We start from the raw sequence: 13,435 nt of genomic DNA, 5'->3' as shown, positions 1-13,435 counted from the left end.
GTAGAAATGAAGGAAGAATATGAAAATCATTAGCATTCTAGCTTCATACTAGTATGCATTACCCAGTAGGCTCTCACTAAATGTTTCTTGAGTGATTTGAATAAATGACTGGAGCTAAGCAAAATAAACAAACTCCTGCTCAAGTTGGAACAAGTTCAGTTGCTTTTCAGAGTCATCAAAGCAAATTGTTTTGTTTATTCTATTAAACTCAAGTTCAAGGTTGCATGGCATTTGTATTACTGTTGAAGTGTGCTGGCATTTCATTTCATTTTGACTGACTCCAGCTGTTTTCCAGTAAGAAGACTGGGCAATATGCAAATAAGCAGGTTGCTGCATATGGGCTGTTGTAATAGTTTTTGGCCATTTCAGAAAAGCTTCAATCTGAGGAGTGTTCTCTCCAACATGGAAGGAGACATGAAATGAGTCTCTGTATCCCTTACCATTTGAAGTAGATTAAATTTTTATGATGTGCACAAAATGTGGCTGAAGTATAGTAGAAACTCCCTAATCCCTGTATATCCTATTCCCAACCCTTTACATGAGGCCTTGGCTCTGTTTACTCTTGCCAACTTGCAGCTTCACTCGCTTTCTTTGTCTGTTCTTATTACATGTCAGCCTACAGATGTGCTCAAATCTCCTCTGGCCTAAAATCACTTCTCATCTTGCTTTTCCCTAAAGTTATCATTCTATTTCTCCCCTTTTTTTCCTGCCAGTGTCTCAATGAGGTCATTATTTACTGCCTGATTCCAGCCAGAAGTATTTTCTGTCTCCTTTGGACCACCTAAGCCCTTTATTTGTTGTTCACAGTATTTACCATGGTCACACCCTTACCCCTGTGCTAGGCCAGGAATAGTCCTATCTTTGATGCATTTCTCCTTCCACTTCTGAATTCCTGGGAACACAGCAGTCCCTTGGGGACTGGCTTCTTAGACTGTAAAGTATCTCTTTTTAAATTAAAAAAAAAAAAAAATTGTAGAGGCATTCTCACTATGTTGCCCAGGCTGGTCTTGAACTTCTGGGCCCAAGCAGTCCTCCCACCTTGGCCTTCCAGAGTGCTGGGATTACAGCCGTGAGCCACTGCACCCGACCTAAGGTACCTCTTAATTCAAAAATATGAAAAGGTTTGTAGAGGCTGCTGGCTTTTTCCTGGAACTAATTTCCACTAAATGTCCTGTGTTTTTTCCACATATCAAACATATCTAAAGATACTGCTTTTCTAACTTTAACTAAAACGTAATGTCATCTAGTGGCTTTCCCTCCTCTTTGCAAAGTTTTTGTTTGTGTGTTTGCTTAACTCTTTGAGCAGAAATGGAAGAGGCCATGCCACAACAGGGTCAGAAAGACCTGGGTTCAAATGCCATCTCTGACATGGACAAGCTCTCTGACTTTGGGGTCTGTCACTAGACTTCTCTGTGCCTTAATATGTCCACGTATGAAATTGTTGCAATAATGTCCACCTTATGGGATTATTGTGAGGGTTCAAAGAGGTGTTTGCAAGCCCTGAGTCCCAAGTATGGACCATGAAAACTACTCACTGAAAGCTGGAGCACTTCCTTTCTTCCTGGCTCCTGCCTTTTTCATACCCGAAAACATGTTCAGAACAAAGAAGCCGCACTGAGGCGTGAATGCCCAGTAGCCAGTGAGTTTGTACGATGCAAACTGGTATTCCAGCATATTGCTAAATCACTACACTTAATAAACTTCCTGGGTGTCCACTGTCAAATCACAAACCACAAATGTAAGGTCATGAATGCCAACAGTCTCTTCTCTCTGCTTTACTCAACCAGTGTGATCTGTCCAAAGAATTTGAAATGACAGAAAATATACATAGCAAGTATTAAAGCAGCAGATGGTATTCATATGCCGCTAGCTCTCTGTGCTGCTAAGTCACTCACACATCCATAGTCATAGCGGAGGGGACGAGGAAAAAATCACATTTCCTTCTTTTCTTGGAATTGCCATCTTTTTCTCATCTCTGATGCCAATGTCTCCTCACAAGATTTCCAAGAGAAGAAAAGTCTCACTGTTCTGGAAATGCCAGAAAACGTTCCAAAACTTGCTTAGCGTTCTTCCTAGCAACAAATCCAACAACTTCCTCCACATTCGGGTGGCAGGGCTCTCATTGTGTTTATCACTTTCTGCCCCCAACTAGCTGTACAACCTTGGACCATTAGTCCTCTTTCTGTGCCTCAGTTTTCTCATCTATTAGATGGGGATATTGAAATTGCATACCTCATTAAGTTGTCATGAGGATCAAATATATGCTAACCAGTTTTAACGGTATTTAGGATGGAGTAAGCACTCAACATATTGCTATGTGGTCATTTTGCCTGCATATGGGTCAGTGGATGTGGACTAAGAATTACAAAATACTTGTAGTCTTGGTTTTGCCACCTACTAGCTATGATGAGCCATTGAGAAGTTCCTTATTGAAACTTACTTTTTAAATCTGTAAAATGCTAGAAAAACGACGTTTTCAGTATTAAATGAGATTACCTCTATGAAAAATAAGCCTCAAAATGCCATAGAACATAAATTGGTATTATCTCCTATCTCTGTTCTTGAGCAGGAGCTGCCAAGTCTTAGAGTCTTTGCATTTCTTGTGGCACCTAATGGGTCTACAACACCAGTTGTTGAAGGAAAAGTTTACCCATTCAGCACAACTGAGAAGGAAGCAAGCCAGAAAGGCCTCTCAATGGTCATCAGAGATGGCGTGAAATTCACACATTCACTCGTGCTTTTTTAATAGGCTCGTGCATCGGGCTCTCCCTCTGAGGCACTTCACTTTTACTTTACCCAGAGTCAGCCTGGAGAGGACCAGGCATATCCAATTAGTGGAGTGAGGCTGGGTTAAATTGCTCTGGGCAGGCATACTGACCACCTGAGAAGTGGCACCTGACTATAATGGTGGAGTCAGAAAAACTAAGAAAAGCAGCCAGGAGAACTTAAAAAGCCCTTCGGTGTGAGACTTTTTACCATAAGGAGAGATCCCGTGAGGCTGACTGAGAACTAAATTAGACAAAAGCAGTTGAGATCTTCTTCAGAGAACAATTTCACTTTGGCAAGGGGATACCGATGACCTAAAATGACAGATTCTGCTAATTTCCATGATTGCCTCAGGGAAGGTTGAAGCTAACTTGGCTCTGTTTTTGCAATATGTTTCTCAAACATAACTTCTTGGTTGACTGCACAGGTAATTACTCCAGCTACAAAGTTCATGTTACCAATTATCTCAACTATGGCCTCATTTTCTCTAATGATGCCGAAACCTCATTCTTCTGGGTTTTGCAGTCTCTAACGAGTAAATGTTAAAACCTTTATCCAGCAAATGAATTGCTTGGTCATGTCCGTTTATGTAGCTTATTATATTTTCAGGATAATTGGCAATCAACTTAGAGTATTGGTAATTATTAATTTTAAGTAATGACATACACTAAAATAAATTTATTTACTAACAATTTGATTTTCAAATTTTTATACTACTGTTTGCTCTCTAAAATTGTGTCCAATTTGGTATTGTTGCTGGCTTTTAAATTTTTTATTAGTAGCATTAATATTTTGCTAGATAGTGTTCTTGTCTAACTCATAGATGATGGCATAATGAATATTTCGTAAGGACAAGATTGGGAAGTCAAAAGTTTTTAGCAGGTTGGGATAATGGACCCAATCTAAGAAGGTGAAATATTGATGTTGTGAAAATAAAGGCTTCACTTGTTTCTAACAAAAAGACCTACAAAAAGATTAGAGAAATATTAACTGTCAGTCTGAAATGTAGCTGTAAGAATGGCAGTAAATGGAGTGCTGTAATCTTAGTCTGTATGAATTTGGGCACTCTGGGCCAAAGAAAACAGCAACTCACTCAAGACACTCTAAGGAGGAGGGGCTTGCTGCACAGCTGCCCTGTTTGGATCTGTAAAGTAGAAAGTTCGGTTTGAGATGACTCAAGGGACTGACACCTTTCACATGCTCTCTCGTATGGTCTTTCTGCTATCTCTGCATATTTAGTAGGTTCTCCTCTGACTCCCAACATCAACTAAATCCCAGAAAGAGCTGGTTTGATCAATTTGTCTTACTATTGTCTTTGTTCTAGCGTATCTCTGCACAAACCTACCTCCTGGGTCATCCACCAGCCTCTAAGGTGCTCACTCCTGATCCAAGCAGCACCTCTACCAAAACAATAGCTTATCCTTGTTTTTCTGAACAGTGGGCTGTGGTTGGGGAAGTTAACATTAGAATATGAACCTGGGTGTGGCTCCAATGGCCAGAATTGTGAGCAATAAGTCAAAGCTACAGGAAGAGAGATTCAGCTTCATATAGAATTTCCTAAAAATAGAATGGGCCACAGGCAGATAGATGGTTGGATTTAGTGACCTTCCAGGCTCCTTCTGTCTCCCAAAATTGTGTTTTTATTTTTAATACCACTCTTCTGTTTCTTCCCAGATGTGTCTAATGAAAACCATCTTTTCACATTATTATTAAAATGAGCTATGAAGATAATTCTGACACAGTATAATTAGGATATGCCTAAGGTGTCAGAAACAGTAATGCTTTTGCATTAGCCTCTTAAAATATATTTCATATGCAACATATTTGTAAATTAGATTTTATTATAGTAAATAACAATGCTGTACAAATAAAAGAAATAATTTACCCAATGTAAATGTAATGGGACAGCAAACTGCGACATGGATACTTCTCTTAAGAGGATTGAAGATGAATGTAAGAATGTTAGGAAAATTGTTTACCCATGAATTGTGAATGATGTTCCAGAGATTTCAGTTGGGCATTTAAACTCAGATATCATGATGGACTGAGTTATTTAGGGCAGTTTTCAGTGATGACTCTTCTGATGGCTGCCTGAGCTGAACTTCTCCAAAACAGTTAAATCTCAGCATCCAAAGTGTACTAATTTGGAAGTGTGTGTGTAAGAATAAAAGTTATTCCATAAAATGTTAATTCTCTCTCAACAGAAATTTAATTGTTTAGCCTGAGAAAATCTGAAAGCACCACACCATGGAGACTCCAGGAGGCTTCTGTTTCCACTTTCCAGTGTGAGGATGCATTGAGACAAAAAAGATAAAGTAGATATCAGGGCAGAGCAGCCTTGCCTCCAGCCTGCAAGGGAGTTGTATTTCTTTGAGGCAACGCATGGTCGGGAGAGAGAGTAGCTTTGTTAAAATTCTAAAATTCGAGGTCCATCATTTTTGAGACAAGACTCATCTCTCTTGGCTTCAGTTCCCTCATTGATACATTGGCAATGATAATAGTACCTAGGTCAGAGAGTTCTTGTGAGAACGAAAGCACTTCTTGGCACAGTGTCTAGCTCATAGAAGGTGCTCAGTAGTTTAGCTACTAAGATTACTATTTTCTGTTGTTTTTGTTTTTGAGACAGGATCTTCCTCTGTTGCCCAGGCTGCAGTGCAGTGGCATGATCTTGGCTCACTGCAGCCTCCTCCTCACTGGCTCAAACTATCCTCTCACCTCAGCCTCTGGAGTAGCGGGGACCACAGGTGCGCACCACCACACCCAGATAATTTTTTTTGTTTGTTTGTAGAGACAGTTTCTTCATGTTGCCAAGACTAGTCTGGAACTCCTGGGCTCAAGTGATCCACCTGCCTCAGCCTCCTAAAGTGGTGGGATTACAGGTGTGAGCCACTGTGCCCTGCCTGCTATTGTTCCTTTGTTTTTGAGATGGAGTCTTGCTCTGTCGCCCAGGCTGGTGCAGTGGCGCCATCTCGGCTTACTAAATCCTCTGCCTCCTGCCTTCAAGTGATTCTCATGCCTCAGCCTCCCGAGTAGCTGGGATTACAGGCGTTTTTGTATTTTTTAGTAGAGACGGGGTTTCACCATGTTGATCAGGCTTGTCTCGAATTCCTGACCTCAGGTGATCTGCCCACCTGGGCCTCCCAAAGTGCTGGGATTACAGGCGTGAGCCACTGGACCTGGCCTGTAGTTCCTTAAAAAGCAGGAACCCTGTGTTTATGCATCCCTGCCCAGAGAGCCACGAGCCTCATCACTTCCTAGTCATCAGTGTGGCTCATGTCTTTGGATCATACCCAGCCCATCCTGAAACAGAGTTGTGTCTGGCCCCAGGTCATGATCCATCTGGCTTTCTCCTCCCTAGAAGACCTGACCCCATTCTCACGCTGCTGCTTTGCTTGGACCTTGTGTAAGTCACTGTACCTCTTGACTCTGAGTTCCCGCCTCCTGAAAATGGGAACTATTTATAGGGTTCTAAAGTTTTGGATACTATCAATTTAAATTTTATCTATTTTAAAACAAATGAGTTGTCAGGTGCCAAAAGTGTAGAAAAGACAGAATGTTAGAGCTAGAGGGGTCATCAAAGAATATCTTCCCTGACTTTCTTTTGCAAAATATTGACAGTTGCGTGCCATTCCACCTGAGATTCTGATTGAATTGGTCAGGGATTTATTTGGTCTGGATGTGGCCCAGCCATCGATACTTTTTAAAAGCTTACCCAGTGGTGCTAATGCACAGGCAGGGTTGAGAAGCACTTAGCAAGCCCAAGGCCATACTGTTAGTGGTGGAGGCAGGTCTAGAACTCGTGGTTTCTGCTCTTCTTACTACAGACTGACCCTAAGTTCTGGTTTAAAAGAAGCTTTTTGAAGCATTCCTTTTGTGGTTTTACCCTCTCTCATAAAAGTGAGATATGTAATAAACATAATATTCAAGCACACCTGTTAGTTGGCTTCTGTTTAATTAAGGTTTTATTCTGTTCCACTTTAACCTTATGCTTTTTCTTTCTTATAATGGTGTGTTCAGCAACCCCTTTATTCCAGATGCCATATTTTCTTACCGCCTTCAAAGCCACCTCTAAAATACTAATTGCATTGCTGAGTTCCTCTCTGACATTGTCAACCTTGATCAAATACTTAGTTCTTCATTGTTTGTTCTTTTCAGTCTGTATTAGATTCTTCCCCGCCACGGCCTGTTGTTGATGTGATTATAGAGCACGGTGTATTCCCATGAAGCATCAGAGTAGAATAAGATCAAGTGCCTTTTTTTTCTTTTTGATTTGTGTGCACAGTTGTTTCCTGCTATTTAGGGGTAATTCAGACTTCTGTCCTACACTGCAATGTAATTGGAATTATGTTACCTATTTTCATTACCTGTTCCTATTAAGTTGCTTAAAATTTCTTAGACATTGATGTCATTAAGTACAATAATGCTTGGTTAAAATTAATCATGGAATTTGATATATAGTAAGTCCCCCTTGTCAATTTTTCGTACGATAGTAGGATGAAATCTCAGCTAAATAGAATTAACCCAAAACAATTTACATTGTCCTGTGTTACTTTTTTTCTTTTTCAGGAATCTTTGTGACATTCTCTCTCAGCATTCTTTATCCCCTGTTTGCTGAAGACTTCGACAAAAGCTGGTCTTAGCTGTTGGCATTCTCCTGAGAAAAGGATAGCTTCAGAAATCAGAAAAACATTTGGGAGGTGTCTAGCCCAGTGGACCTTCTGAAGGTGAGAGTGAATTAGTTCTCTCTTTGTCTTTACAAGACTGAATTAACTGGTCTGTCTTCCAAAATCTACTTGGAAAGTAGTGAAAAGAGGGAAACAGGTTATTGAAAATTTTTTATAAACAATTGATAGTTTCTCTTTTTTGGGAAAACTTTTTAGTAAATATGGAGGAAACCAATTGGCTATTTTGACCAAACAGGAACTTTATTTGAAGTTGGAGCTCTGATCTTATGAAGATCTATCTGAACATACACACACACACACACAAACACACACACCCCTTTTAAAAATCAATAATGTTTCTCTTTTTGGAGAAATTTCTTATGTATTTAGGGTCTCTATCAGCCTCAATATCTGCCTTACCCTACCTTCTTGGGTTGTTTTAAGGATCAAACGATATAACTTTTATGAAAACACTTTGTAAACCATGAGGTATTATTTGCATAAGTAAGAAAAACAATTTCTACTTTTCTAAACATTTATAATCCTCAGAAATACTCTCATACCCACCAATATATTTTTCCCCATAGTTTCATTTATTTTCAGTTCAGTTCAGTAAACATTGCTAGGCTCTCAAGAAGCAAAGGTGATAAGTCCTTGCCTTCAAGGAATATCTGCCAAATGCAAGAGACAGGCACATAAATAGATATGACCAACTTCTATATGATAAAAGTATATTGAGGGTGCATTAAGGAATGGAAAAGGCAGCTAATGCAGTCTGGGGCCAGAGGGCTGTGTGTAAAAGCAGGCTTCCTAGAGGAGGTGTCCCCTAAAATGGCTCCTGAAAGTGGAATAGGAGTTAGGTAAAGAGCAGGGTAGGGTGGACAAGGGCATTGCAGGTAGGAGCAGTGGGATAGGGGTGTGAAATCCATGTGAGAAAGTAAGAAGTTATGGCATATGTGTGAAAGGAAGGTGAGCAGGAAGCACTGAGGTGTTATCAGCTGGAAGTCATTGGCATTTTATGTGTATTACACTGGAGGAAGTATAGAGAATGAACTAGAGCAATATTGAAGGAGGGAAAGATGCATTTTGTAATTATATGGGGGAGAGCGAGGAGAATTAGAATTTGGCTAGAAGCAGCATCGAATAGAGAAAGAAAGGGGAATTTGAAAGAGCTGGATTTGGTGGTTGATTGGGCATGGGAAGTAGGAAAATGTCAGGACTTGGGATTCTTGGATTTCTGATGTGGGTGACTGAGAACATTATGATGCCAGAAGGGGAATTTAGGAGAGAAGCAGATTTATTCTTGGGAAAGGAAGGACTTTGAAGTATATAAGGGACATCTAGATAGAAATATCCATCAGACAGCTGGAAGTGTAAGTGTGGAGGTAAGGGGAAGATTCAGAACTAGAAACATTCACTTGGGAGTTATAGGCAATGGTTAAAAATATTTTCTTAATTATGTATTTGATTTTGTATTTAAGCCTTCAATATTATTCATTTATTTACTGAAAGCACAACTTACCACATTCTCTATTTTCATTTTATTCTGACATTATCTGCTGTTTCATTTGTATCTGTAGTATTTCTTCTTATTTTCTTGGCATAATAAATTAGGATTTTTCTTCCTAGAGACAAATACGGTGACCTTTCCAGTTTGATAAAAGGAAATTCAAAGCAGTCTTTAACAAACAGTGTGAACCCTGAAGTTAAGGACAGTAACAAGCCAGTGCTATTCTCCATTTTAATTCACAATAGCTACAGCAATTATTTACGAAAGGAGCTTTGCTTTCTCAAATGTCATTCTTTTTCAGTATCAATCATGATTTTTTGTCAAATTCTCACTTTCATTGCTCTGCCCAGTGTTTCAGCATTGCTTATGGGAGACTGAGAGGGTCTTTCTTGCATTCTTCAGTGGGGTGGTGTTAGGGCCCCTCCCTTTGGGTCTTCTCAGCATCCACCCAGGACATGGTTGAGGCCTGTTATAACAGAGCCTGCACTGTTTGAGAGCAAGTCCACCCAAGTCAGACTGCTGAAATTCATTCTCACAGCCTTCTTTGAGGGAATGTCTGGGGTAAAAATTTCAACTTCAAATAATACTTACAATAGTACTATTTTGAGTGAATTTTATTTGATTACTGTGATCTTAATTAGCTTACTGATTTTTTTCCTTAATACCCATTGGAAAGCTACAAAATGCTCGATTTTTACTCTCTGTAGTTCACTACCATCTTTTCAGGAACTTTAAAGGTCCACGAATCTGTCACTTTTTCATACACAAGAAAAATAATTTGAGGCAAAATTAAGTAACTTACTGAACACTAACAGCTGGAACCAGAGTCCTGGTCTCCTGAATCTCACTCTGCCGTTTCCACCTCATCTTTTTTTTCTCTTATTCTAAATCTTTATTGAGCTGTAAAGTTATCTATATGTCTTAAAATAGGGAATTGAATTAAGTAAATCAGTTCACACCAATGACACTTGCTTTGGTTAATCAATCTAGATGCAACAATCAGATTCTCTTTTAATACTTGAGGCTCTGATTAAGGCTTTGTTATTTTTAAATTTTATAGTTTTTAATTTTTAACATAGATTTTGTTTTTGGCAGCCTTTATTTCTCTAGACTGGTTTTACCAGTGAAATGAAAGATTGGAACAGAATCAAACCACCTGTGTTTAAATTCTAGTTAAAAAAGACATCAGTGACTTTAAAACCAACACTTTTAGGCACAGGATATTACCTTTTTTGTTCATTTTTAAATTCATACATAATGATTATACATATTTCATATACAAATTAGTCATATTTACAGGTGATCTTTGATACATGCATACACTGTGTAATGATTAAACCAGATTAATTGGGTATATCCATCACCTCAAACATTTATGATTTCTTTGTGTTGGGAACATTAGAAATCTTTCTTCTAGCTATTTTGAAATATACAATAAATTGTGGTTAATTACAGTCATCCAGAAAGCACAAGATATTTCTGATTTGGTCAATTACATTGCAATCTACTGTGAGTTTTATGTGTAGAGGATGAATTTATGGAAACGCTGCATTAGTATAATTTGGAATGACGGCACATACACGCGAGTTGTAGGTGGTCTTGAAGACAATGAATTGTTCTCTGAAGTCCACAGAATGGTCAGTCTTTACTGTGAAACCAGTGGGCTGTAAATTATCAGAGTGCGTGTACAAAACATGATTCACTCATCCCGAAAGCTGCCAGTAACAAAAGTTTCTACTCATTTATGCGCAGAACACAAAGAATATTTCTCCCTGTTTCAATCTTTTTTGCCTCTATTTTCTCTCTGTCTCTATGAATCTTTTTCTGTCTCACTCATATTCGCTGCATGATAGACACACACTAATATGATGTCTCTAAAACGTGAGACCCTTGGTTTGTGGAACTGGTAGTGGAAATAGCATGTTGTGGATAAGGGGTGAGTGCTGTGGGGAGACATTGGCATTTGCTAAGTGTTTGCCGTGTGTATCGCTTGGCTGCATTGGGCAGAACAACCGTATGAGCAGGGATGAATAGATATGGAAACTATTGCAGACTGTGAACACAAGATGGTATGATGGCTGCGAAAGGGGAGGTCAGCTTTCACCACTGTTACCTGACTTGGTGGTGGTCTTCTTCTGAACTATCTTACCATGGGTAAAGGACAGAATGCAACCATATTAGGTGGCTGCTTTCTGCTTGGATTCCAAAGTGAGTGTCATTGTGCAAGCAAAGCAATGCATGCAATTTATGTTAGTTTTGGAGTTGCCACTTAGAAGTATTCAGAGTTTGGAACAGCACTGGAGACTGCCTTCCTTGTACCCTGTGGTTAGAGAACAGCATTCTACAAGGGGAGGGTTGTATGGGAAAACTCCTATTGGGAAGTGGAAGGCATGGGTGAGTTGCCAGGGTGACACTTTTGCATGGGCAGTATTCCAACAGGCTCAGATCATATTTAACAGTAAAATGTGTTGCTGTGTGCCCTTTTATAATGTGGGGTTTTAAAAAGAAAGAGGAAAGGAAATGCTGAGCTACTAACTTTGGGTACAAATTCAATCCCATCATAGAGATCGCAGACTTTACCTCAGCAATTCGTGGGCCATTTTGGTGGAGGACAATGACAACAGATTTCTAATCAGATAATGTCCTGCTACATTTGAATTTTCACTCTCCACTGCCTTTTGTTGTCTGGGTACTTTTGAAATTATTCTTGATTCAGGTTTATTATTAACTTTTGAACCCTAGCTACTGCACTAATACCTTGCTACTCATGAAAATGAGAATGGTGACTAGAGAATTTGTTTTTGCCTTAGTTAATAGAATAGCAAGGCAGCATAATATGGATTAATGACTCTTCACATTTTCTCATAATATAAGCTGAATTCATTTTCCCTTGGGGATTTATTTCTAATTCATGCCCTAATAAAACCATTCTTGCCAGTTGTTGACTTTCTAGCTTTTTAAAAGCATCTGCATAATGGATAAGTAGATAACATTAAATAATAAATAATTTTGATCTTAAACTTTAAAAACATGTTTATTGTTCTTATTTTAAAATGGAAAAATAAAACAACTTCCTCTTCACAATCAGTAGTATAAGTATCTTTGCTATTTGTTTTAGGCAAGAACCATCCTGAGGCAATTATATCTTTTAATATATAAGACCTATGAGGAAAGATTGAGGATAAAAAAAAGATTGAGGATGCAGAACTACTAACAGGGTTCTATTCACCCAACATAACATAAATGTCCTTCATTTAGAGGACATGTACATTATTGATAGAATTATTCCAAAATCCCAATATCCACCTGGATAATAACTATCCATTACCAGTATTTCAAATTATTGTCTCTCCTTTTCTGTTTCCCCTCCTTGCTATCAGGGGTTTCATGTTTTATTTAGTGTCATCATATTAGTATGTGTGTATCACAGAGAATGTAAATGAGAAAGACAGAGGCAGAGACAAAGACAGAAAGAGGCAAAGAGAGAGACTAAGAGGAGAGAGAAATACTCCTCTTGCCCTACACATAAACCAAAGCAGTATTTGAAGTTCTTTTCTCCCCTCAGTCTGATTTCTTTGACTTATTTGGCCTTAAAATGATATAATCTGTAACTCAGAATCCATAAACAGGTTCACAGGGCCGCATCCTGAGTTGGGGATCAGAAGACACAGTCACTGTGGTAGAGCTGTGATGTGCCACTCAGATCCCCTGCCCTTTCCTGACTGAAGCACTCTTTCTCCAGCTTCTTGGAGTGTTGACAGCTGATGGCTCACTTAGGTCCTTCCTTTTGGGGATTGTCCTCTGCCTTCAGCTAATCAGAGCTGCCTCACCCAAGATTATACTGTTTGCCCCAGGCCCATGTGCATTCAATGAGTGGTCGACTTGGGAACACAAAGGCTCTTGACTCAGTTCAGGACAATGTGTAGGACCTGAAAGGTTGGCTGAGGCTTTTGTTGTGACAGCACCACGGCCCAACTTCTCTGACTCCCTTGTCCTGTTTTGTGCACTCCCCTTGGGGTTGTGCTCAGGAGCCCTCACCAGTAAAAATCCTGCCTGCAGATCTTCATCTCAGAGCCTGGTTCCAGAGAAACCTGAACTGCAGCAATCACCATACGTGGGCCATGTGATGTAGCACGTGTGTGTATGAGGATGGGATTACCTATCTTCATAGTACTGTGATAAGGTACTGGCTCTGGAATCACAATCAAGATCTGTGACAATCTAGCCCAGGCACTTACTATAAAAAATTAAACGGGGGAGGGTTCCAAGATGGCTGAATAGGAACAGCTCCAGTCTACAGCTCCCAGCTTGAGCGACACAGAAGACGGTTGATTTCTGCATTTCCAACTTAGGTACTGGGTTCATCTCACTGGGGCTTGTCGGACAGGGGTGCAGGACAGTGGGTGCAGCCCACTGAGTGAGAGCCGAAGCAAGGTGAGGCATCACCTCACCTGGGAAGCGCAAGGGGTCAGGGAATTCCCTTTCCTAGCCAAGG

The 13,435-nt window shown here is 39.7% G+C and overlaps 1 protein-coding gene across 98 annotated transcripts in view, besides 1 other annotated feature; it reads left to right on the top strand.

Annotated features, from left to right (window-relative positions):
- NRCAM (neuronal cell adhesion molecule) overlaps positions 1-13,435 on the top strand; it is a 309,072-nt gene that overhangs the window by 49,795 nt on the left and 245,842 nt on the right. For 93 of the 98 annotated variants that reach the window (NR_163870.1, NR_163867.1, NR_163869.1 and 90 more), the window contains exon 2: positions 7,333-7,490. The exons of 1 other annotated variant lie outside the window; for it this stretch is intronic. The gene's annotated coding sequence lies outside the window, so the exon portion shown is untranslated. Of the gene's footprint in view, positions 1-5,392; positions 5,511-7,332; positions 7,491-13,435 lie in introns of all 98 variants that reach the window. 4 more of the 98 variants (NM_001371166.1, NM_001371132.1, NM_001371167.1 and 1 more) reach the window with 1 other exon arrangement.
- Positions 3,775-3,975: a silencer, noted in NCBI's record as "peak6684 fragment used in MPRA reporter construct". NCBI's record gives its function as "represses an SCP1 promoter by STARR-seq MPRAs in K562 erythroleukemia cells {active_cell/tissue: K562}" and the evidence as "EXISTENCE:reporter gene assay evidence [ECO:0000049][PMID:32103011]".

The sequence above is a fragment of the Homo sapiens genome, chromosome 7 (assembly GCF_000001405.40).
Source record: "Homo sapiens chromosome 7, GRCh38.p14 Primary Assembly".
NCBI lineage: Eukaryota > Metazoa > Chordata > Mammalia > Primates > Hominidae > Homo > Homo sapiens.
This window is presented reverse-complemented; position numbering and strand designations above follow the sequence as displayed.